This window comes from Homo sapiens, chromosome 1 (assembly GCF_000001405.40).
Source record: "Homo sapiens chromosome 1, GRCh38.p14 Primary Assembly".
Lineage (NCBI taxonomy): Eukaryota > Metazoa > Chordata > Mammalia > Primates > Hominidae > Homo > Homo sapiens.
Window position 1 is genome coordinate 11182284 of NC_000001.11, and position 23951 is coordinate 11206234.

General features: G+C 43.7%; 2 protein-coding genes across 11 annotated transcripts in view, besides 2 other annotated features; one reads left to right on the forward strand and one right to left on the reverse strand.

Moving 5' to 3' along the window:
* Positions 1 to 23951, reverse strand: part of MTOR (mechanistic target of rapamycin kinase) — a 156017-nt gene that overhangs the window by 75749 nt on the left and 56317 nt on the right. For all 8 annotated transcript variants that reach the window (XR_007058581.1, NM_001386501.1, NM_004958.4 and 5 more), the window contains 3 exons: positions 22278 to 22420; positions 17258 to 17420; positions 16975 to 17120 (listed from right to left, as the gene is read on the reverse strand). Coding sequence is in view for 7 of the 8 variants with exons in the window: in NM_001386501.1 (NP_001373430.1) it covers positions 16975 to 17120; positions 17258 to 17420; positions 22278 to 22420 (452 nt within the window). In the remaining variant the exon portion in view is untranslated. The remainder of the gene's footprint in view (positions 1 to 16974; positions 17121 to 17257; positions 17421 to 22277; positions 22421 to 23951) is intronic.
* On the forward strand, positions 7072 to 13698 carry ANGPTL7 (angiopoietin like 7). 3 transcript variants are annotated; one of them, NM_021146.4, is made up of 5 exons: positions 7072 to 7672; positions 9987 to 10087; positions 11297 to 11491; positions 12178 to 12376; positions 12571 to 13698. In NM_021146.4, exons 1-5 carry the CDS (start codon positions 7297 to 7299, stop codon positions 12738 to 12740), a joined length of 1041 nt encoding a protein of 346 aa, NP_066969.1. In that variant the 5' UTR covers positions 7072 to 7296; the 3' UTR covers positions 12741 to 13698. The 3 variants fall into 3 exon arrangements, with proteins under 3 accessions (NP_066969.1, XP_047280386.1, XP_016855493.1); XM_047424430.1 differs by lacking the exon at positions 12571 to 13698 and having other exon boundaries at positions 12243 to 12351; XM_017000004.2 differs by lacking the exons at positions 12178 to 12376; positions 12571 to 13698 and adding an exon at positions 11884 to 12126.
* Positions 7425 to 7925: an enhancer, noted in NCBI's record as "H3K4me1 hESC enhancer chr1:11249765-11250265 (GRCh37/hg19 assembly coordinates)". NCBI's record gives its function as "activates a minimal SCP1, AML or CMV promoter by ChIP-STARR-seq in primed H9 embryonic stem cells {active_cell/tissue: H9 hESC(primed)}" and the evidence as "EXISTENCE:reporter gene assay evidence [ECO:0000049][PMID:30033119]".
* Positions 12196 to 12396: a silencer, noted in NCBI's record as "peak73 fragment used in MPRA reporter construct". NCBI's record gives its function as "represses an SCP1 promoter by STARR-seq MPRAs in K562 erythroleukemia cells {active_cell/tissue: K562}" and the evidence as "EXISTENCE:reporter gene assay evidence [ECO:0000049][PMID:32103011]".

Below are 23951 nucleotides of genomic sequence, written 5' to 3' on the forward strand. Positions count from 1 at the left end.
GTGCTTAGAGAAAAACATGGGGATTTATGGGGATTTATGTTAGACTAGAGTAGTCAGCAAATACTTTTATGACGAGACAACAATTGTGTACTAAATAATACAATACTACTACTTGGTACAATACTACTACTTGATATTTGCTAGACGTTGACTATGTGTCAGATACTAGTTCAAGTGTTTTATGTGCATTATCTATTTTTACACAAACATCCTAATTCAAGTATACATAAATATAGGAGAATATAACACCTAAGTGTACAGTTTGATGAATTATCATAAAGTGAAGACATCTTTGTAATTACCACCCAGACCAGAAACAGAACACAACCAGCTGCCAGCAGCTCAGAGGCACTGAGCCCCCTCCCAATCACTGCTCCCCTCTGTGTCCCCAGAGGTCTGTAAACCCTACTCTGACTTCTAACACAATGGGGTTGTTTGCTCAGTTTTTGAGCTTAATTATATAAACATTCAACACTATGTTTGTGACATGCACCCAGGCTGCTGCACGTCGCAACAGCTTTTCCTTTCTATTGCTGAACAGTATTTCACGGTGTGAATATACCACCATTTACCTATCTTACTGCAGATGAACACTTGGATTGTTTTCAGTGTTTGGCTATTACGAGGGGTAGTACGCGGACACTCTTGTCCATGTCTTCTGGAGCATGTGTGCTTGCACTTCTGCTGGAAAATATCTATAGCAGAATTGTTGAGTTACATATAAGGATATGTTTAGCTTTATAAGATACTGACAGATTGTTTTCCAAAGTGGCTTTACCAATTTACATTTCTACCAATAGGACATGAAAAGCCCAATTGCTTCACAATCTCTGTCAACATTTGCTATTTTCAGCCTTTTCCATTTCAGCCCTTCTGGTTGGTGTGCAGTGGCATTTTATTATGATTTAAATTTTTATTTCCATAATGACTAATGAGATGGGATAGCTTTTCATGTATTTATAAGCCTTTTGGATATCTTTGTGAACTAAGTGCCTGTTCACATCTTTTGTCAATATTTTATTTTTTTCTTTTTGAGACAGAGTCTCTCTATGTTGCCTAGGCTGGTTTCCAACTCTTGGGCTCAAGCAATCCTTCCACCTCAACCTCCCGAGTAGCTCAGACTACAGGTACACACCACTGTACCTGGCTTCTTTTACCAATCTTTTTATTGTGCTACCTTTTTCCTCCTTATTGTTTGATAAGAGTTCTTTATACACTCTGGGTATAATACATATACAATATTGAAGATAATAGAAATATTTCTTGCCTTTCATTCTCTTCATTGTGTCTTCCAATGAACAGAATGACTACTTTTGTTGCATTTCTTAATATTTTCCTTTATGATTGGTGTTTTTTCTATCTTAAGAAATCTTTGCTTATCTTAGGAAGCCACTTAATCTCCTACGTTATCCTCTATAAATTTTATTGTTTTACTGTTCACACTTAAGAGTTTAAATCTCCTGGACTTGAGCTTTTGTGTGTGGTGTGAGGTAACGATCAACAGTCTTTTCTTTCAGAAAAAGGATCACTGAGGGAAAAAAAAAAATTTTCTTCCCCCATAAGGCTACTGAGCTGACTTAGCAGTCCTTTCCTCACCACTCTGTGGTGCTACCTTGTTATAAATCAAGTGTCTATATCACATGGCTTGAGAGGAAAGGAATAAATACATAAATATAAATACACAAAATTAAGTATCTCTACATATGTGGGTCTGTTTCTGGACATTTAATTCTGTTCCATTTGTTCATCCATGTCACTACTGTACTGCCTTACTTACTGCAGCTTTATGATAAATCTTGATATGTAGTAGTGTAACTCTTCCAAATTTATTTTCCTTATCCAAAAATACCTTGGTTATTTAACCCTTTGCTTTATTTAATTCTCATGAAAAGCCTGTGGTATGAGATAGTTTTGATTTTTATCTCCATTTCACAGGTTGGCAAACTCAGAGAAGTAATATGTCCATGGCCACACAGCAACCAAGTGCTAGGGAGGGATTAGAATCCAGATTTGTCTGCTTCTAGGCCTAAGAACTCAAGTGCTATATGTACTACCTCCTTAATCCTAATGCCAAATGACCCCGTCAGGGTATTTAATATGAATGCATTACAATTTTAAGAAATTCTCACGTTCTAAATCATTCATTTGCGGTGAAAAAATCTTGTTTGGGCTGTGTGTGGTGGCTCAGGCCTATAATCCTAGCACTTCGGGAGGTTGAGATGGGAAGATCTCTTGAGGCTAGGAGTTCCACACCAGCCTCAACATAGTGAGACTCCGTCTCTACAAAAAAATTTAAAAACAGGCAGGCGTGTTGGTGTGCGCTTGTATTCCCAGCTACTTTGGAGGCTCAGGCAGGAGGACTGCTTCAGCTCACGAGTTCCAGGTTTCAGTAAGCTATATGATTGCACTACAGCACTCCAGGGTGGGTAACAGAATGAGACTATGTCTCTAAAAAAAATAAAAAATAAAAAAAAATTGTTTGGCAATTACCAAGGCCACTTTCCTGGTGGAACTCAGGAAAACAATGGAACAAGAGGGAAAAACCTCTAGGATTCCTTCCCATGTCTACAGAGGATCAGTCCCGCTCCTCACCTGGGCTCCCCGGGCACGGCCCCCCTCCACCTCTCCAGCTTTAGCTTCTGCTGCCATTCTTCTTCCCTTTGACTCTTAGGCCACACTCGACTACTTACATTCTCCCACTAGTCCAAGTCTTTCACATAGCTGCACCTTTGCTTACAACATCCTCTCCCATTCCTGGCTATTTCCTCCTTTTTCTTTAAAACCTAGGTATCACTTCTCTAGAAGGCCCTCCTTGTCCTCTGTGTCTCCCATCCTAGCATGTCACACTGTCCAAGAGTTCAGCTGTCTAACTAGACTGCCAGACACTGGGCCAGAATAATCGCTGGATTGTGCAACTTGAGTGGAGGCTAACAGAGCTATAAAGTCCTGACAGAAATCAGAGAGACTTTTTTTTTTTTTTTACTATATTCCATAATTTAAAACTGACTCTGGCCAGGTGTGGTGGCTCATGCCTGTAATCCTAGCACTTTGAGAGGCTGAGGCTGGAGGATCACTTGAGCCCAGGAGTTCGAGACCAGCCCTGGCAACACAGTGAGACCCCCATCACTACAAAAAAAAAAAAAGAAAAGAAAGAAAGAAAGAAAGAAAAAAAGATAGTTGGGTGTGGTGGTGCATACCTGCAGTCCTAGCTACTCGGGAGGCTGAGGTGGATGGATCACTTGAGACTGGGAGGTTGAGGCTGCAATGAGCCATGGTTGCCCCATTGCACTCTAGCCTGAACAGAGTGAAACCCTGTCACAAAACAAAACAGAACAAAACAAAACAGGACTCTAAGAGAAGGCCTGAGAGAAAAGACTTCTAATAGGTTCAGGACACATTCTTTGATAGAAGTGGCAAATTAGAAAGCTCAGGGAAAAGATGGAAATATCTTCTGTGATGGACTTGGACTTTCAGTTGAGACAGGAATGGGATGGAGTGCTAGAAAGGCAGATATGTGGCCGGGCATGATGACTCACACCTGTAATCCCAGCACTTTGGGAGGCCGAGGCGGGTGGATCAACAGATCAGGAGATCGAGACCATCCTGGCTAACATGGTGAAACCCTGCCTGTACTAAAAAATACAAAAAATTAGCTGGGCATGGTGGCAGGTGCCTGTAGTCCCAGCTACTTGGGAGGCTGAGGCAGGAGAATTGGCGTGAACCCGGGAGGCAGAGCTTCCAGTGAGCCAAGATCGTGCCACTGCACTCCAGCCTGGACGACAGAGCAAGACTCCGTCTCAAAAAAAAAAAAAAAAAAAAAAAGGCAGATATTCAACGGCTGTATAGAGTATGGCAGGCTGTGGTTTTTTCAAAGACTTCAGAAGAAGTGAAATATTCCTTTGAGATACACAATTAAAACTAACAGCAAGGCAGCTTCTTCTGAGATGTATTCATTCCACAAGCTGAGAGTGGGCAGCAGTCTCTCCAACGGGGCATTTTCAAGCAAATGGGATCTGATGCTCCTCTCTGGATAGAAGGAGAGACCACCCCTAGGTGCTCCCCTGCCCTGTGACCCTCAGACTACCTTGGTGCCAGCCCAAGGCAGTGCGGCCCAAACACTGTGAAGTCTTTTGAGAACCTCCAGGTTGAGTACAACCTCACTGACTTTTTTCATTAAGAACAAAAGCTTAATTTTCATAAACACCTTTTCCAGGAGCACCAAGCTAGCCCTCTTTCAACACCAGCAAAATGGAGAAAAGGAAAATCTAAACAGTATCCAACCTAGGTTTTCCAGATTTTGTCAGTTAATTCCCATTTTTAAGGTCACTCTGCTCACTGAAAGGCAGAAGAAGGATTTAAAAGCCTCTTTCAGAGAAGGCAATACCATTTTAGTCCTCCACATCCTTCATGGTTTTCTCTACTGGCTTAGCTGTGCTCAAAACAAGGACTTCTTTTTCCTTCATTTAGATATTCAGAATCTAGGACATCATAAGGTTGTGGATGTTTTAGAAAATAGATAATCTTCTGGCATGAGAAATATCCTTAATTAGCTATTTTTCCTCAAAACTGGAGGGGGGGTGAGTATTGACATTTGGGTAGCTTATGCAATTCAAGAGCTTCTGTCTTCTGTCTTCAAGTATTGCCTTATGTTAGAAATAAGTTTCCAGAAAATAAATGTCAAAGACCAGACACTCATGCTAAAGGCTAGATGCTTCCAATACAAACTTACGAACCTCCTCCTACCTTTCCTAAAAGGGACTGTTACATGGGGTACAAATATGAATGATTAATTTATTTTCTGCCCACATATAAGAATCAATTCATAACACTTTCCTGTTTGGGTGAGCTACTGGGAAGAATAAACAAAAGCTGGCTAGAACTCCACAAAGTTCCACTGTTCTTTTGTGCTTTCTCTGCTGCACTGTTACATGAGAGTTCCAAGGCAGCAGGGTCACGTGGGATGCTATACATCAGTGGTCCCCAATCTTTTTGGCACTAGGGACTGGTTTCGTGGAAGACAATTTTTCTATGGACCAGGGTGGGGGTGGGGAGATGGGGGATGGTTTTGAGGTAAAACTGTTCCACCTCAGATCTTCAGGCAGTACTTAGATTCTCACAAGGAGCACGCAACCTAGATCCCTCACATGTGCAGTTCACAACAGGGTTCACACTCCTGTGAGGATCTAATGCTGCCACCGATCTGACAGGAGGCAGAGCTCAGGCGGTAATGCTCACTCACCTGCCACTCACCTCCTGCTGTATGGCCCTATTCCTAACAGGCCATGGACAAGTACAGGTCTGCAGCCTGGGGATTAGGGACCCCTGCTATACATGACTGTATGGTACATAGCACTTCTGTGGCATGTGGTTTAAGCTCAGTGTCATTTGATGGCCAGGAGATCCACTTGAAAATCCCTATTTTTAGCAGACCTTGTAGGATGCCAATATTTGGGGCCAGAGTCTCGTTACTAAAATGAATGCTATGGAGCTAAGGCTGTGGTGCCCAGCTGGGCTAGACATTTGCAAAAAGAGAGCAGACTGGCAGACAGTGCCAATTCTCAACAGAATCTTTTGATTAGAATGCCAAGTTGCTATAAGGGTATCAGTAACATCCTCACCCTTTAGCAGGCAAAGGAGGCTGGGTATGTGAGAAAACAAACTCTGATCCACCTGATCCTCCACTGCTTTTTGATTCTGAGAAAAAAAAAAATTGTTCAGTAACTCCAGCTGCCTGAACAGAAATTACTTTCTGAGGAGCTAGAAGCCCTGACTGGAAAAGAGCTCTGGGGGATTATGGCATGGGAGGAGAGCTGTCAGGCATCAGGCTTATGTGGGAAGGACCCACGCTGACTACAACAGTACAAGTAACTGCCTGAGTGGCTCCATAACATGGAAACAGCAATCGTATGTTCCAAAGACAGAGTTACTGTTTTAAGGACAGAGGAACCTTTGTATAGATTCTTAGTGAAAAGCTTATTTTAAGGATGTTTGCTGAAACTCCATGTTTTTCACATTTCTTTTCAAAAGAGCATTGTCCTTCATATATAGTACATGAAAAATTACAATATTCATGTTTTTTAGATACAAAGTCATATACAAATAGAGGAGGAATAATTTCAAATTGCAAACCATACCAGCAAAGAAAGAGGGAAATGAGACTCTAGATATGGATTTATTAGGTGACAGGGATTCTTTTCTCTATATTTTAATATATTTTCCAAGTTTTGAACCACGGGCTAAGGATGGGCCTGTTCTCTGTCCTGCCTAGAAACTGACAGAAGCATGGGTGACCAATCCCAGACATGCTTGGCACTGCTGAGTTTTCATCTCTGTTGTAATCTTCTGACACCTCCTTGCAAAATATCAAGTGTTATATGCTAATACTGGCCCTCTCTTTGTTGAAGGAGAAAGCATGTAAAAAGACAACTGTCCAAACCCTGTGGCTACAAAGTCTTTTTTTGGCTTCCTAAGAGATTTACTCTATTCTTCTATTTCTAGAACTTTTCTAAGTTGGAAGATTTCAAATGTGAGATAGTGTTAGATCCAGGTTGAGTAAGGATTTTATAAAATACTAAATAATGATCAGAGATGGGAATAATCAGCCTAGATAAAAGCATATTCAGCAGGATGTCAAAATATACCAGATCCTCATATAAACAGCATGGATTACATTAACAGGCCTCCCTGGGTGAGTAGCGTCTCTTTCGCCTACCTTACGCTCACCCCATGGTTATATAACCTTTTGAACGGAATTTGGAAATTCTTCTGACCCTGTCCTGCTTGCTGATAGAGTTGAGCCAGTGGCTGGCAGGGGCATAATCTAATAGGCGAAACTGGAAACACACAAATTCACAGTCCTCTTGTCTTAGCCCAGAGACTGTACAGGCAAGGAAAGAAAGACTCGCCCCATCTCCCTCCTCCCCTCCTCTGGCCTAAGTTGCCGCTGACTTCACCCAACAGGCACCTGACCCTCCCAGATGAGCTGGGAGGGGCTAAAGCCTGGTGCAGCCATGGTAGGGGTGGAGGTACAGGCAGCAAACAATATTTAAGATGCTGACTTGTGGAGCATTCGGGCTTGGAAGGAAAGCTATAGGCTACCCATTCAGCTCCCCTGTCAGAGACTCAAGCTTTGAGAAAGGCTAGCAAAGAGCAAGGAAAGAGAGAAAACAACAAAGTGGCGAGGCCCTCAGAGTGAAAGCGTAAGGTTCAGTCAGCCTGCTGCAGCTTTGCAGACCTCAGCTGGGCATCTCCAGACTCCCCTGAAGGAAGAGCCTTCCTCACCCAAACCCACAAAAGATGCTGAAAAAGCCTCTCTCAGCTGTGACCTGGCTCTGCATTTTCATCGTGGCCTTTGTCAGCCACCCAGCGTGGCTGCAGAAGCTCTCTAAGCACAAGACACCAGCACAGCCACAGCTCAAAGCGGCCAACTGCTGTGAGGAGGTGAAGGAGCTCAAGGCCCAAGTTGCCAACCTTAGCAGCCTGCTGAGTGAACTGAACAAGAAGCAGGAGAGGGACTGGGTCAGCGTGGTCATGCAGGTGATGGAGCTGGAGAGCAACAGCAAGCGCATGGAGTCGCGGCTCACAGATGCTGAGAGCAAGTACTCCGAGATGAACAACCAAATTGACATCATGCAGCTGCAGGCAGCACAGACGGTCACTCAGACCTCCGCAGGTAAGGAGACCAGTCCCCTGAGGGAGCGTGGAGTGCCTCCCCATCTACAGCACTGCTTCTACATATCCTGGTCATCAGAACCACTACTGGGGCCTCTTTTGTGGGTACACTTTCCCTTTAGTAAAGGCTTATGCAGTATTTCCTTTGACTTCTAATGCTATGTAAGTTTACCTAACACCTTCACGGGTCTCTTTTATCCACACAGTGTTTCAGCCTACCATCTTGGAGTGCTGAGATACTACATGGTTTGCCCAAAGTCACCCAGCAAGTCTTAGAAGCAGGGTTCAAGTCTTCCTGATTGGTGTAGCTCTGCTACTTCCTCACCAAGAGCTGACAGGCTATATCTCAAGAAATTCCAAGGAAGCACCAAACTGTAACAGCTGTTCCTCTGGAAGCAAAGTTTTGCCAGAAACAGTTCTCTGGTGTTCCTAAGATTTACCAGGAATGAGCATTAATGGAATTTTGTGTCCTCTCTCTGTAAACGTAACTCTTCTCATTGGCTCAGAGTTAAGTGTAGAGACACATAACCATGTGAAGAGTCCCTTTGTGTTCAGGAAGGATGCGGCTCCTTAAGGTTCCTCAATTGTGATACGTCTATTTTTTTCCATGGTCTTAAATGAATTTCTCCGAATACAGGATTTTTTAAATGCAATGCTGAAATATAGACTTAATAGGCCAAAAATAAGATAAATTTAATCTTTCTTTTGCAAAATAACTTTTATTTCTGGTTAGCTCAGCTCAGGTGGGCCAACATGAATTTACGGTTTAGAGATAAAAATTTGGTTTTCTGAAATTATCAGGAAAATATTAGTTGTAAGGAGCATATCCTATAGACATGTCATTTCTTGCTGATATAAAAACCATTGGTCCCATTATAAACTACATGAAGAACAAAGACATGATCAGCTTCTACTGACTAAGTCAATGGTTAACCTCAGCTCAAATTAAGAAAAAGTTTTAACATGAAACCAAGCTTGAAAATTCTGTTACCTGAACCAACATGTATCAATCACTTTCTAAGCATGGACTTCCGGGCCCTCAGTTTGGGATTAGAAAGGTATTCTCAGGCCATTTTCCAGACAAGTGAGTCCTGATTTGGTCTGTGAGATGAAACCAGACATGCGGAAGACCAGGCCAGACAGAGGAATCTGACCGTGCCACTTCCTGCTCATCCAAACAGGAGGCTTTCTCACCATCCTGCAAGGAGGTTCTTGGGGTCAAGTGCAGCTCTCCCACCAGGTCTCTTGCTCTTCTTGCCCAGGACATCATTCCTTATTTTTCTTCTCTATGACCAAGTGCTCAGTTACCCTTATATTCTATAAGTAGGTAGTCCCTTAGAGGAAGCAGTAAGTTGGTGCTTTCACCACTAAGACGAAATGAAGAATAGTGATGGCGAAGGCACACGTACTCTACCTCCCTTTCCCAAGGTGCTCTGCAAGAGAACCTATGTGCCTCAGACAACTCCCATCTGCCATCTTGGTGCTCCTCTCTAAGGTCCCAGTGCAGTGGTCACCAAGAAAAGCACCCCGAGACATAGCAGGCAGGAAGCTTCTCTTGGATAGTAAGGGCCGCAGTCTCTGAATCCTATCAGAAAAGGCTGTCTCTTCCACTATGCTCTTTGATATTTAGAATACAGAGCTTAAATCCTGCATAAAGTAGCAGCTCCATGGCCCTAGAGTAAAAAAACTGGCCAGTCTGATGCTCTCATTTCATTGTTTTAACAAAACTTCTGGGAGGAAGGCCTCAAAGGTTCTTCTGAGTGTTTTGAGGTGCTAGCTGGATGGAAGGGGAAAATATGTGATAATAAAATCTATCTCCCTTAATTATGGTCTCAGGTGGCAGTAGCCACCATCTCTGAACAACAACAAAAACAACCAACCAGGAAACATCAACAAAACCAGACTCTATGAGATATTCACGACTGATTTGTTATAGTGGCGGCTGTCTAAGAAGTCTGAATCTATCTGACAGGAGTATCTGTTACGTGGCCCTCATACACTGTAACATTTCTAGAATTCATGGCCCAGCTATAGCAGAATAATTTATTTCAGAGTTAACCTGAAACCACCTGTTGGAACGTCCCACTAATGCTATCCAGGTGAAGGGCTTCCCTACCCCTCTGCTCCACCGCTAGTAAAGCCAAAATACACCCCCTCTGGATCTCCCCATATCCACCTCTCCCAAATGCAGACACTGATGGGTAATTAACACCACTGAGAATCCCAGGGTAGAAATAAAGGCTCAGTCTCTAAACACTCAACTCAGATGGAGCCACTGGGTCTAAATGCTCACCCTGTGGTTTGTTCTCTTGTAGATGCCATCTACGACTGCTCTTCCCTCTACCAGAAGAACTACCGCATCTCTGGAGTGTATAAGCTTCCTCCTGATGACTTCCTGGGCAGCCCTGAACTGGAGGTGAGGTCATTACAGTCACTGGCCATGCCCTAATACCTGTCCTTCACCCCCTCAAGGGGACTACAACAACAGGGCCATTCACAGTTTAAAGAAAGGAAAATTCGGCTGGGCGCAGTGGCTCACACCTGTAATCCCAGCACTATGGGAGGCCGAGGCAGGTGGATCACTTCAGGTCAGGAGTTTAAGACCAGCCTGGCCAACATGGTGAAACCCTGTCTCTACTAAAAATACAAAAAAATTAGCCAGGCATGGTGGTGGGCACCTGTAATCCCTGCTACACAGGAGGATTGCTTGAACTCAGGAGGCAGAGGTTGCAGTGAGCCGAGATCACGCCACTGCACTATAATCTGGGAGACAAAGTGAGACTCCATTTCAATTAAAAAAAAAAAAAAAAAAAAGGAAAACTCAAACACAAGCAAACACACCAAACACCACAGAGCTATGCAAACACTCAGTTTATGCCCTGCACTCCAAACCCAGGCATCTGTTTGGCCCCTTCAAATCATTATCAGTCAAACAACAAGCCTTCTAACATAGATCAGATCATTCTTATAACCACCACATAACTTAGTTTAAATCTCTTGCCATGTCCTAGAACAGCTATTCCTTGGGGGAGGAGAAAAGAAAACACGAAGGCAGCATCAAATTATCTGGATTTTCACCCAGGCATGGTGGCTCACACCTGTAATCCCAAGTTTTTTGGGAGGTGAGGTGGGCGGAACAATCACCTGAGGTCAGGACTTTGAGACCAGCCTGGCCAACATGCTGAAACCCAGTCTCTACTAAAAATACAAAAATTAGCCCAGTGTGGTGACAGGCACTCTGGTCCCAGCTACTAGGAAGGCAGGAGAATCACTGGAACTCAGGAGGTGGAGGTTGCAGTGAGCCGAGATTGCACCACTGTACTCTAGCCTGGGCAACAAGAGTGAAATTCTGCTTCAAAAAAAAAAAAAGTATCTGGATTTTTCCCTCCAAGCTTCATGTGCACTCACCCCCGGGCCCAATTTGCATCGTTCTTCCAGAGCAATGCACCACCCACCCCAGCTCACCAGCAGTGGGGCAGCATCACTGCCCGAGTGAGCCAGTGTGACTGCGGGAGTGCACACATCTACTGGCTCTGCAGGGACAGGAACAGGTTGGGAAGCCTGCCCTCTTGCTCCTGCCTTCTGCCCCTGCAAGTCCCTCACCAGAGTATCCCCTCTGCTTCAGGTGTTCTGTGACATGGAGACTTCAGGCGGAGGCTGGACCATCATCCAGAGACGAAAAAGTGGCCTTGTCTCCTTCTACCGGGACTGGAAGCAGTACAAGCAGGGCTTTGGCAGCATCCGTGGGGACTTCTGGCTGGGGAACGAACACATCCACCGGCTCTCCAGACAGCCAACCCGGCTGCGTGTAGAGATGGAGGTAAGCACAAGGCCAGGGGCCCCATGACTGGACCAGTGCCACCACACATGACCGCGTACAACTCCGGGGGTGCCATTCCTATTCTGATTCAAGACAAATCTGTATATTCATTGTGATGGTTTTCCTGCAAGTTGTAATGGAGTTGAGGAAAAATAGGTATTTTTCCTTTCTGCAACCCCCCCAACCCCCCGACAAAAGTGGGGCTGCAGGTGGGACAGGAAGAGGCCAGACCCAGGCCAGAGTAGAGCAAATTCAACAGTCAGCTGTGCCGAACACTAGTCTCTGCTCTGGCCGAGCATGAGGTCCTTTAGGTGCAAATCTTACTGATACTGTTTGGGGACCCTTGCTGAAGGTCTGAAAGCACTCACTATATCCTCATGTTTCTCTTACAGCAGCTCTGTGTGGGATTCAGCAAAAACATAGCTGCACCTTATAAGCAGGAAAGTGAGGAATATAGAAAGAGAGACTAATCAAGGCCATATGGTGAATCAGGAAAGAAGTTCGAGCCTTGTTTTCTGATTCCCAGGTTAACACAGTAAACTGGAGGTAAACAAGTAATAAAGTCTTATTAGATTCACACCTATAAAAAGATGTTTGGCTATGGGACTGTCAGGAGAGAAGGGGTATAGAGACAGCATGAAATGGAGCCTGCTGCACTTTCTTTAAGGCTCTGCTCCTCCTGACAGGACTGGGAGGGCAACCTGCGCTACGCTGAGTATAGCCACTTTGTTTTGGGCAATGAACTCAACAGCTATCGCCTCTTCCTGGGGAACTACACTGGCAATGTGGGGAACGACGCCCTCCAGTATCATAACAACACAGCCTTCAGCACCAAGGACAAGGACAATGACAACTGCTTGGACAAGTGTGCACAGCTCCGCAAAGGTGAGATTTGGGGGGACCGGAAAGGAGAAGTTCAGGTACAAGCTCATAATCCCACTTGAGGAGAAAGAGTGAATTATAACTGTACAGTTGATATTCCGGTTTTGGTATTCTTTCTGACCCTGGCTCTAACTCCTTACCTGATGTCTGGTCTATCACAGTCAACTTACTAGCACTGGGTCTGTTTCTCATGCCAGGTGGCTACTGGTACAACTGCTGCACAGACTCCAACCTCAATGGAGTGTACTACCGCCTGGGTGAGCACAATAAGCACCTGGATGGCATCACCTGGTATGGCTGGCATGGATCTACCTACTCCCTCAAACGGGTGGAGATGAAAATCCGCCCAGAAGACTTCAAGCCTTAAAAGGAGGCTGCCGTGGAGCACGGATACAGAAACTGAGACACGTGGAGACTGGATGAGGGCAGATGAGGACAGGAAGAGAGTGTTAGAAAGGGTAGGACTGAGAAACAGCCTATAATCTCCAAAGAAAGAATAAGTCTCCAAGGAGCACAAAAAAATCATATGTACCAAGGATGTTACAGTAAACAGGATGAACTATTTAAACCCACTGGGTCCTGCCACATCCTTCTCAAGGTGGTAGACTGAGTGGGGTCTCTCTGCCCAAGATCCCTGACATAGCAGTAGCTTGTCTTTTCCACATGATTTGTCTGTGAAAGAAAATAATTTTGAGATCGTTTTATCTATTTTCTCTACGGCTTAGGCTATGTGAGGGCAAAACACAAATCCCTTTGCTAAAAAGAACCATATTATTTTGATTCTCAAAGGATAGGCCTTTGAGTGTTAGAGAAAGGAGTGAAGGAGGCAGGTGGGAAATGGTATTTCTATTTTTAAATCCAGTGAAATTATCTTGAGTCTACACATTATTTTTAAAACACAAAAATTGTTCGGCTGGAACTGACCCAGGCTGGACTTGCGGGGAGGAAACTCCAGGGCACTGCATCTGGCGATCAGACTCTGAGCACTGCCCCTGCTCGCCTTGGTCATGTACAGCACTGAAAGGAATGAAGCACCAGCAGGAGGTGGACAGAGTCTCTCATGGATGCCGGCACAAAACTGCCTTAAAATATTCATAGTTAATACAGGTATATCTATTTTTATTTACTTTGTAAGAAACAAGCTCAAGGAGCTTCCTTTTAAATTTTGTCTGTAGGAAATGGTTGAAAACTGAAGGTAGATGGTGTTATAGTTAATAATAAATGCTGTAAATAAGCATCTCACTTTGTAAAAATAAAATATTGTGGTTTTGTTTTAAACATTCAACGTTTCTTTTCCTTCTACAATAAACACTTTCAAAATGTGAGTATCTTCTTTTTAAATTCTTACCATTACCACTTACAGCAGGATAAAAAGTTAAAGTTAAATCAGAGGGTGAGCAGTGACAGAGGCCCGGGGTTTGTTTTGGTGTTCAGGGCAACCAAGCGGGGAGCAGAAGCCAAAAGGGAACAGGTAAGGGACAAAAGGGCAGCAACCAGGACAATTCTTCATAAAGGGGATTACACGTCTGGGGCTGGGCAGTGAAGGCATCCAGCCTTATCAGACCCTCTATTCTACTTAGGATAGAGAAGCAAAAACAGGCCAGCAGACCTTACCCTAATGCTCGGGGCTAACCAAGTAAAAGTGGTGTGTGTGCGCTTTCTAACAAATAACCACTCAATCCTCTGTCCCCAAGAAAGCAAATATATTTACTGATATGTGAGCTTTAAGGAGATGGGGGTAGTTTATACTATCTCAGTGTTAGCCCTGATTTGGGATTACATCTCGGATTTAATTTGCCCTGTAGCAGATAGGTTAAAAAAGTCAATAGGTTGCAAGACGGATTGAACTAGTAGCAAGAGAACAATACTGTCAACAGAACACAGTTTTTTAAAGCAAAGACAAAAAAATAAGAAATAGCTGCACGCGGTGGCTCACGCCTGTAATCCCAGCACTTTAGGAGGCCGAGGCGGGTGGATCACGAGGTCAAGAGAGTGAGACCATCCTGGCCAACATGGTGAAACCCCTTTCTACTAAAAATACAAAAATTAGCTGGGCATGGTGGCATGCGCCTGTAGTCCCAGCTACTTAGGAAGCTGAGGCAGGAGAATCGCTTGCATCTAGGAGGTGGAGGTTGCAGTGAGCCAAGATTGTGCCACTGCACTCCAGCCTGGAGACAGAGCGCGACTCCATCTAAAAAAAAAAAAAAGAAAAGAAAAGAAAAGAAATAGCTGAACAAAGATGTTTTTGTGTAGGGCTACCCTAATTGTTTCAAAAAGAATTTAGGGAAGTTGACTCAAATGTATATACTAAAATAAGCTCTGAAAAAGCAGACAACTTGGTGAAGGGAAAATAAGAGTAGGAAAAATAAAACAAAGCCTGTGGGGGTTGGGGGAGGGTTAGTAGTAAAAACAGGTAAGATGTCTGGAATTTGTTGGAGGTAGACCAGGAATTTAGCTTCAAGCTCTCTAGCAGCCACTGTGAGGAAGGAATTCAATCCCTTACTGCAAAGCGATGTCTCCAAGGCCAGATCCAAGTAGTGGCTCAGGGACATAAAACCAACAGTGGGAAAAGACCCCTGAGAAGAATTTCCATGAGGCTCACCCACAGAACTAGGGGTAGTGCTATGAGCAACTTTGTCTAAGGCTGTTTCTTAAAACTTCCTTCAGTAAAGACGACAGTATACCACCACAACCGGGCTTAGGAAAAGCAGCTTTACAAAATCAGAAGTAAAAACTGCAATTGGAAGCAAAAAAAGAAAGGTGATGGGAAGACACAGGAGACCAGCAGAAGGGAGGCAGAAATGCAAGCTGAGCTGACTTAGCTGAGGACACCCAAAGAGCCGAGCACACTGGCTTTCCCCAGTAACAGCATTCATTCATTCACTCATTCATTCACTTTTTTATTGAGACAGAATCTCGCTGTCATCCAGGCTAGAGTACAGTGACGCAATCTTGGCTCATTGCAACCTCCACCTCCCAGGTTCAAGCAATTCTCCTGCCTTAGCCTCTCAAGGAGCTGGGAATACAGATGTGCGCCACCACACCCAGCTAATTTTTGTATTTTTAGTAGAGATGGGTGTTTCACCATGTTGGCCAGGCTGGTCTCGAACTCCTGACATCAAGTGATCCACCCACCTTGGCCTCCCAGAGTGCTGGGATTACAGGTGTGAACTACCCCGCCCGGCCTGGAACAGCGTTTTAAACAAAGGACAAGATCAATCTCCAGGGAATTCTGAGGATTTACTTTCAATTATATTTGCTTACAAAGCTAAATAACCTTCTAGAGCACTTTTCCAGGCCTCTGACTATATTTTTCTGCTACAAATCTGCATAACTTTAAGTTTTTATGATTGTATCAAATATGCGGAAAAATTAAGGGTGGAATTGGGAAGGTTTCAAATAGGTCTCAAACAGGTGAGCAAGGAAATTAATATGCAAAATGAGTTATCTGACCTTAAAGTGATCATACTTAGTTACCGTATTTTCTATGAGCTATCAAGTGACAGCACATTACCTAAGCCAGAGATGGAAGGAAGAAAGTGGATTTTCACATTTACTGTGCCTGATGTGAAACTGAAGCATGCCTCAGAGGACGGCATGTTTTTAATTATTCCTACATGGTATTTCAGAAATCAACATTTTCTCCAAGTCCAATTTATTTGGGCAAAAACAGGATTCTATTTCTATCTTTTCGCTAACTTTTTAAAGTGTTAAAGGAACTCTTTTAAATATCTTCTCAAAAGCACAGCTAGGAAAGGACTTGGCTATTTGATTACCCTCTCAAACAAAGGAGGCTCTATCCTCCTTTGATAGAGCCACACAGCAGGCTCTATCAGCCACGGTGAAGGAACTTACTAGCCAGATGATTTTTTCTAAACTATCTGCAGTGAAATGACCGACCATTTAGCATTCACATGAAGATAATGAGATCCCGAAGTTGATATTCTCTGATAATCATTAGGGGAAGTGAATGGTTTTTTAGGAGCTGGAGCTAATGTTTCATGCTGCTTGTAATTTCCTAACAGCAGAAAATTTATTAAACGAACTATTTTTTCCATACCCAGAAGACTGAAAACTGTCTTAACAGAGGAGCGAACATAACCACATCAGAGAAAAGACCATTAGATTTCAGATTATGCTCTGCCTTTTATATTCACAAAACACCAGAGGAGGAAGATGCAGGCATCAATAGATTTAGTTGATAAAACCCCACTGTGCCCTTGAGTACCCTCTGAAGCCCAGGAACCAGCACATTCTACTCCAGCTCTAGACAGCGCTATCTAACCCAGACATAAAACCTATCTTCCTAGGCTGCCATGGCCACAGAATTGCTTCTCAACTAAATTTCACTGGAACAAGAAAGGACAGGTTGGAAAACAACAGGAGCCCAGGTGATAAGGGTCAACAGAAATGACAATCATGGCTAGATTCCTGGGGAGAGCCATCTGCAACAACATGTCATTTAAACATGCTGGCCAGACCCAGAGGCAGATTTCACAGAGCAGAAGTCTTCAAGTGACTCCAGTGAAGTGGCACCAGGCAGTGGGAGAAGAGAGGTCATTTTGCATGAAGGCAGCAATTAAAAAGGGTTTATGGCCTACCTGATGAGAGATTCTAGAATGGCAGGGGTGGGGCCTTTCTGGAACTCCAGTTCTTTGTAGTGTAGTGCTTTGGCATATGCTCGGCACTTGGCAGCTCTCTCACCCAGCAGAACAATGCCATTGTCATCTCTCAGTGGCAGGGGGCCCTGGAGAAGAGCAAAACCTCACAGCACAGGAAAATGGCAGATGGGGCACAAACAAGAGAAGGCTGTGTGGATGCTTCTCTCCTCCCACCAGCTGGTTCCCTGTCAGCCTCCATCTGGACAATGGGGAAAAGTCTCACCTTGTCACTGTGTTCCATGAATTCAGCCAAGTTTAAGAGGGTCTGTGTGACTTCAGCGATGTCTTGTGAGGTGAGGGCCAACTCGATGCTTCTGATGAGCTCATCCTGTTGATCTTCATTCAGTTCAGACCAGCAGGACACAAATGCAGCATTGAAGAGATCCCTGAAGGCAGAGAAGGTGGAAAATGGAGAGACCTCCCGTGCCTCTGCCTGCTGCCTCAAAGTCACACCTATCAATTCGCTTTTGGCATCACTGATTTTGGTTATACAAACCAGTGCTATACAGACCAGTGCTGTCCAAGAGAATTTTCCTGTCCAATATGGTAGCCAGTGATCACTAAAGCACTTGAACTGTGGCAAGTGTGGCCAAGGAACTGAATTTTACATTTTATTTATTTTTAATTAACCACATATGGCTAGTGTCTACTGAATTTTACACTGCAGGTACAGACATTGTGATATTCAGGGACTTGGGGGGCGAGTGGCAGGGCGGGGAGAAGAGCAGAGCAAAGTGACTTTTCTCCAAAGGAATATTTCTTGGCAGTTTTTGCATTATTTCTCTTCACTGGAGGAAATGGGAAATGAACAGTATAGGGACTTCTAACATAGAAGTTGGCATTAACAAATGCAGAAAATAATAATCATTAAATGATTCTTGGGATGTTTCTGGGACAATGTCTAAATTCTTAAGGTCAGAAATGTCAAAGGCAGCATCTGCAATTGCTTTCAAAATATAACCAGAATCCTTAGTTGGATGGTCATAAAAAATGACAACAGGACTAGAAGCATTAGCAAATAGGATCCAAATCCTTAAGTTCTAAAAGATTTTCTAAGCCAACAGTTGGGGCCTCACAAAGACATGGAACCAGAGGTTCCATTTCAAAGATTACTATGACCACTTTACATTACCACAGTACCACATGATGGACACATTTGCCATCCCTTACATCTAACATTAATTCTGTCCTCCCCACTGTTCTGGTGACTGTGCGGGGAAGGAAATGGGAAAAAACAGGATATACCTACAATGGATAGATTTAGCATTTGATGCCTCTATACCTATTTTCTGTTACATATTAACAGGTTAAGTTAGACCAATGTGTATAATTTTGGAATTTGATAGAAAAAACAAAATTTGAAATCCAAAGGATCAAATGAAGACCAAAAAAAGTCTGTTATAAATTTAAAAATAAGGCCAGGCGTGGTGGCTCACGCCTGTAATCCCAGTACTTTGGGGGGCTGAGGCGGGCGGATCACAAGGTCAGGAGATCGAGACCATCCTGGCTAACATGGTGAAACCCCGTCTCTACTAAAAATACAAAAAATTAGCCGGGCGCGGTGGTGGTGGCCTGTAGTCCCAGCTTCTCAGGAGGCTGAGGCAGGAGAATGGCTTGAACCTGGGAGGCAGAGTTTGCAGTGAGCCAAGATCACACCACTGCACTCCAGCCTGGGCAACAGAGCGAGACTCTGTTTCAAAAAAAAAAAAAAAATTAAAAGTAAGTTTTCGGAGCCAGGTAATTACAGTCGCTGGTCATCCTGGTGACTTGGGAGGCTGAGGCAGGAGGATCTCTTGAGATTAGCAGTTCAAGACCAGCCAGGGCAATAACCAAGACCTTCATCTCTAAAATCATAAAAAAAGTTTTCCTGATCTAGGTCAGAGGCCACATTGGATCTTGAATGAACGTATTTGGGACTAAGGGGATAAAAACATTGTGTATATCACAAGCCTCTCATGGATAACACTGTGCTCAGAGGTGACTGGAGAGAAAAGAGGAATAATAAATACATCAGCTGAGTACATGATATCTCCACACTACGGAAACAGGGAAGTCCTAGAAACTATTTTAAAGCATTAAAAAATACTTGAAAGAAATTAGAGGATGCAAATCATGGCATCAAACCAACAGTCTCAGGGGCCATCACTACTGCTAAATATATATCATAACAGCAAACCAGCTGCTGACAAAAATGAAGTGAAATGCCTTGCTTTCTGCTTCTTGCCAATGCGAAGGGCTGCTTATTAATTAAATCACCATTTTATGCCTCATTATAAATAATTAATATCCAATGCAGAAAAATTTAAGAAATAAAGAAGAGAATAAAAAAGAAAATAATCACTCCTTAAGCCTTCCCTAAAGATAACCATTGCTATATTACTTTCTAATCTTTATCCTATTCACATTTATTTTAATTTTCAATTTTGTATTCCATTTTATTTACTTACATTATATTATAAATCTTTCACATGCATTAGAAGTTTTATAAACCAAAAAAAAATTTTTTTGAGATGCAGTCTTGCTCTGCCATCTAGGCTGGAATGCAGGGGCACGATTGTGGCTCTCTGCAGCCTCTAAACTCCTGGACTCAAGTAATCCCCCCGCCTTAGCCTCCTGAGTAGCTAGGATTACAGCTTCATGCCACCACGCTTGGCTAATTTTTCATTTTTGTAGAGATAGAGTCTCGCTAGGTTGCCCAGGCTGGTCTTGAACTCTTGGCCTCAAGTGATCCTCCTGTCTCAGCCTCCTAGAGTGCTGAGATTATAGGCAGGAGCCACAATGCCCAGCCTGTAAACCAAATTTTAAATGGCTGTTTAAGATTTACTATTTAGGCCGGGCACAGTGGCTCATGCCTGTAATCCCAGCACTCTGGGAGGCCGAGGTGGGCAGATTGCGAGGTCAGGAGATCGAGACCATCCTGGCTAACATGGTGAAATCCCATCTCTACTAAAAGTACAAAAAATTGGCCAGGTGTGCACCTGTAGTCCCAGCTCATTGGGAGGCTGAGGCAGGAGAATGGCTTGAACCTGGGAAGTAGAGGTTGCGGTGAGCCAAGATCGCGCCACTGCACTCCAGCCTGGGAAACAGAGCAAAACTCCGTCTCAAAAAAAAAAAAAAAAAAAAAGATTTACTATTTAAAACAATATTTTTTTTGGCGGGGTTGAGGGATGAGAAATTACCTGATAGGTACGATGTACACTATTATTCAGGTGATGGTTCTACGAAAAGCCCAGACTTCACCACTATGCAACATATCCATGTAACAAACCTGCACCTGTACTCCAAAATCTATAAAAATTTTTAAAAATTAAAAAAAAAATGGTGATGACTCATGCCTATAAATCACGGCACTTTTGGAGGCTGAGGCAGGATGACTGCTTGAGTCCAGGAGTTTGAGATCAGCCTGGGCAACATAGTGAGACCTCGTCTCTACAAAAAATAAAATTAGCTGGGCCTGGTGCGTGTCTGCAGTCCCAGCTACTCAGGAGGCTGACGTGGGAGGATCACTTGAGCCCAGGAGGTTGAGGCTGCAGTGAGCCGAGATCGTCCCACTGCACTCCAGCCCGGGCAGCAGAGACCCTGTTTCCAAAACAAAAACAAAAACAAAAAACCAGGCGGGGCGTGGTGGCTCACGCCTGTAATCCCAGCACTCTGGGAGGCCAAGGCAGGTGGATCATTTGAGGTCAGGAGTTCAAGACCAGCCTGGCCAACATGGTGAAACCCCACGTCTACTAAAATTACAAAAAATAGCCGGGCGTGGTGGCGTGTGCCTGTACTCCCAGCTACTCGGGAGGCTGAGGCAGGAGAATCGCTTGAACCCAGGAGACGGAGGTTGCAGTGAGCCACAATTGCGCCACTGCACTCCAGCCTGGGTGACAGAGCAAGACTCCATCTCAAAAACAAAAACAAAAATGAAAACAAAAAAACCAACCAAACAACAACAACAAAAAAAGATGTCTAAAGTGATGAATATCCCAATTATCCTGATTTGTTTTATTACACATTATATGAATGTATCGAAATATCACATGTACTTTGAAAATATATGTACATCTATTATGTATCAATAAAAAAAATTTTGGCCAAGTGGCTCATGTCTGTAATCCCAGCACTTTGAAAGGCCAAGGTGAGCAGATCACTTGAGGCCAGGAGTTGAAGACCAGCCTGGCCAACATGGCGAAACCCCGTCTTTACTAAAAATACAAAATTAGCTGGGTGTGGTGGTACACACCTGTAATCCCAGCTACACGGGAGGCTGAGGCAGGAGAATCTCTTGAACCAGGAGGCAGGGTTGCAGTGAGCCACAACTGTGCCACTGCAGTCCAGCCTGAGCAACAGAACAAGACTCTCAAAAAAAGAAAAAATAAATTCTGGCAAATTCTATTTTCCAAAGATGTCTGCAACAGTGGCTCCTGTCCCATATAGTCTGTTAGAATATTACTTCTCCTCTCTCAAGAGGTGGGTGCCCATGTCTTCTTCCTTTGAGCCTGACTGCGCCTTTGTGGCTGCCTTGAGCAACAGGGCAAGGCAGAAGTGACTCTTCATGACTTCCAAGACTCTTTATGACTTAGATCATAAAAACACCATGCTCTTCTACTACCTCGTTCTCTTGGGACACTCACTCTTGAAGCCAGTCACCATCTGTGAGAAGGCCCAAGCAAACTCATGGAGTGATCCCATGGAGAGGAACCAAGGCCCCCAGCCAGAGCTGGGTTCCTAGTCGAGAGTCACCTGCACTTTGCCAGACACACAAGCCAGCCTTGAATGCGGATCCTCCATCCTGCCCCAGTCAAACCATCTCCACTGACACCATGTGGAGCAGAGGCGAGCTGTCCCAAAAGTCCTCCCAAATTGCAGATTCAGGAGTAAAATAAATAACTGTTATTGTTTCAGACCTTTTTTTTCCTGTGGTATTTGTAACAAACAGCAATAATTAGAATACCATTGTTATTGGAAATAGGTTACATTCAACTATTACACAGTTGCTTTTAGAGTTATAAATAACTTTGTAATTAAAATGTTAGACCTAAAGCTACTAGAAAAAGGAATTTGTGGTCTACTAGCAAGGTTAAGATAGATGCTACAGTATGAGCTTGTTGAATTTGTCTTTCTCTTTCTTTGTATCCCACAAAATTAGAAAAATTAAAAATACCAGCCCCTTGATTATTACTTCTAATAAAAACTAATTTGTATATATCGTTTTCTATGTGCTGATCTTCTCCACCCGCCCTGACACACTATACCTGGCCATCGGGTTGTAGGCCTGTGCCAGGGCCCAGCAGGAGCGCAGGGAGGGCGATGATGAGTCCTTCAGCAGCTCCAGGCTCAGCCGTCTCAGCCATTCCAGCCAGTCATCTTTGGAGACCCTCCTGGCAGCGCCCCAGGCCTGTGATCCCACAGGTGACAATGGAAAACAATCAGTTTCAAGGGCCAATTGAAAAAAGTCCTCATCTATTTAATGATTATTCTACTTTTAGATTTATAAAATCCATCTTTCACGATAAAATTCCCCTAGAGTACAAATACAAAAGAATAATATTTAATTAAGAACAGCAACTCTGGAACATACCACACTGTGGAAAAAGCCTGTTTCACAACTCCTTTGTGCTGGACTCTGACTGCAGCAAAGGAGCACTACAGAACCAGAATACATGGGATTGCCACACTCGGGTGCATTCGACAAAGCCTAATGGGCTCCAGCAGGGCATGAAGGGAGCTGTGTCCTCTGCATTAGAACACCAGCTCATCTGACAGTGAAGAGTCACGCAAGAAGAGGGAAAAGGCTCAGGTTTACACCATAGTGAATCATGTTGCAACCAGGTGAGCAGTGAGCCCAAAGCACATGGCACTGTGGTAAAACAAGAAAAAGGGGTTGAACAGATTTAATTTCTACTCTATCCCCTCCAACTTCTCTCAAAACTCTGAACTCTCCAGACATCAAGAGTTACTACCAGGGGCAGCTTATTCAGGTGGGTGGAAAGGCTGAGGTTTTGGAGAACAGTATAGTGTAGTGGGCAACAGCTACACTTGACTCAATGGCTTCAGTTCAAATCCCAGTTATATAACATAATTGGCTCTCTGATCTTTGGCAAGTCACTTAACTCCCCTGTGCCTTAGTTTCCTCATCTGTAAAATGAGGATTATAGTTTCTGCTTCCTGGGGTGTTTTAAGTTAATAAATGTAATGAATTTATAACAGTGCTTGGCACAAAGTTAGTACTATTTGCCTAGTTCTCTAAAGTTAGAAACACCTGCCTGGGATCCTGGCTCTTCCACTCAGCAGCTGTAACACCCTGGGCAAATTACTTGTATTTTGCAGCTGAGCCTCAGAGTGCCTCATCTAAGGATAATGTGTCTAAATGGCTTAGCCGGAATAAAGGAGCAAAAAATGATTGTTATTATTGTCAAAACAACACCTATTTGAACTGGCCTAGGCCTAACTACACTAAATCCCTAACTTTTAAAATATGTTCTTCATAGATTTTTCCAGCAGGACACATCAATCCTCCCTAAATGGGGGAAATCATGTAAGACAGAGCAGAAGGTCTCAAACTTTGGACTAGTGAAGTGGTCCAGTGAGTGAAAAGACCCCCAGGTGCTATACCATCAAGGACTCAACCATCACCTCCCTGGGATACACTGGAGATGTGCTGTTGCTTCTAAAGAGTTACGGATGAATAGAATTAGACAACCTATCACTTTATGTCAAAAACCGAAGCAGAAATGTTACAAGAGACAAACTAAATAATACCACTGACCATACAACGAGAACCTCTGAATGAGAAGGAAGAGGGAGACTAGATACCAAAGACTGATTTTTAGACCTTGCTCTGTTGAGCACAATGGGAACATCCAGTCCTTTCCTGCCCACAGATACCTGGTTTCTTCCCTACAAGATGGGTTTGTGTGTAGCTGTAT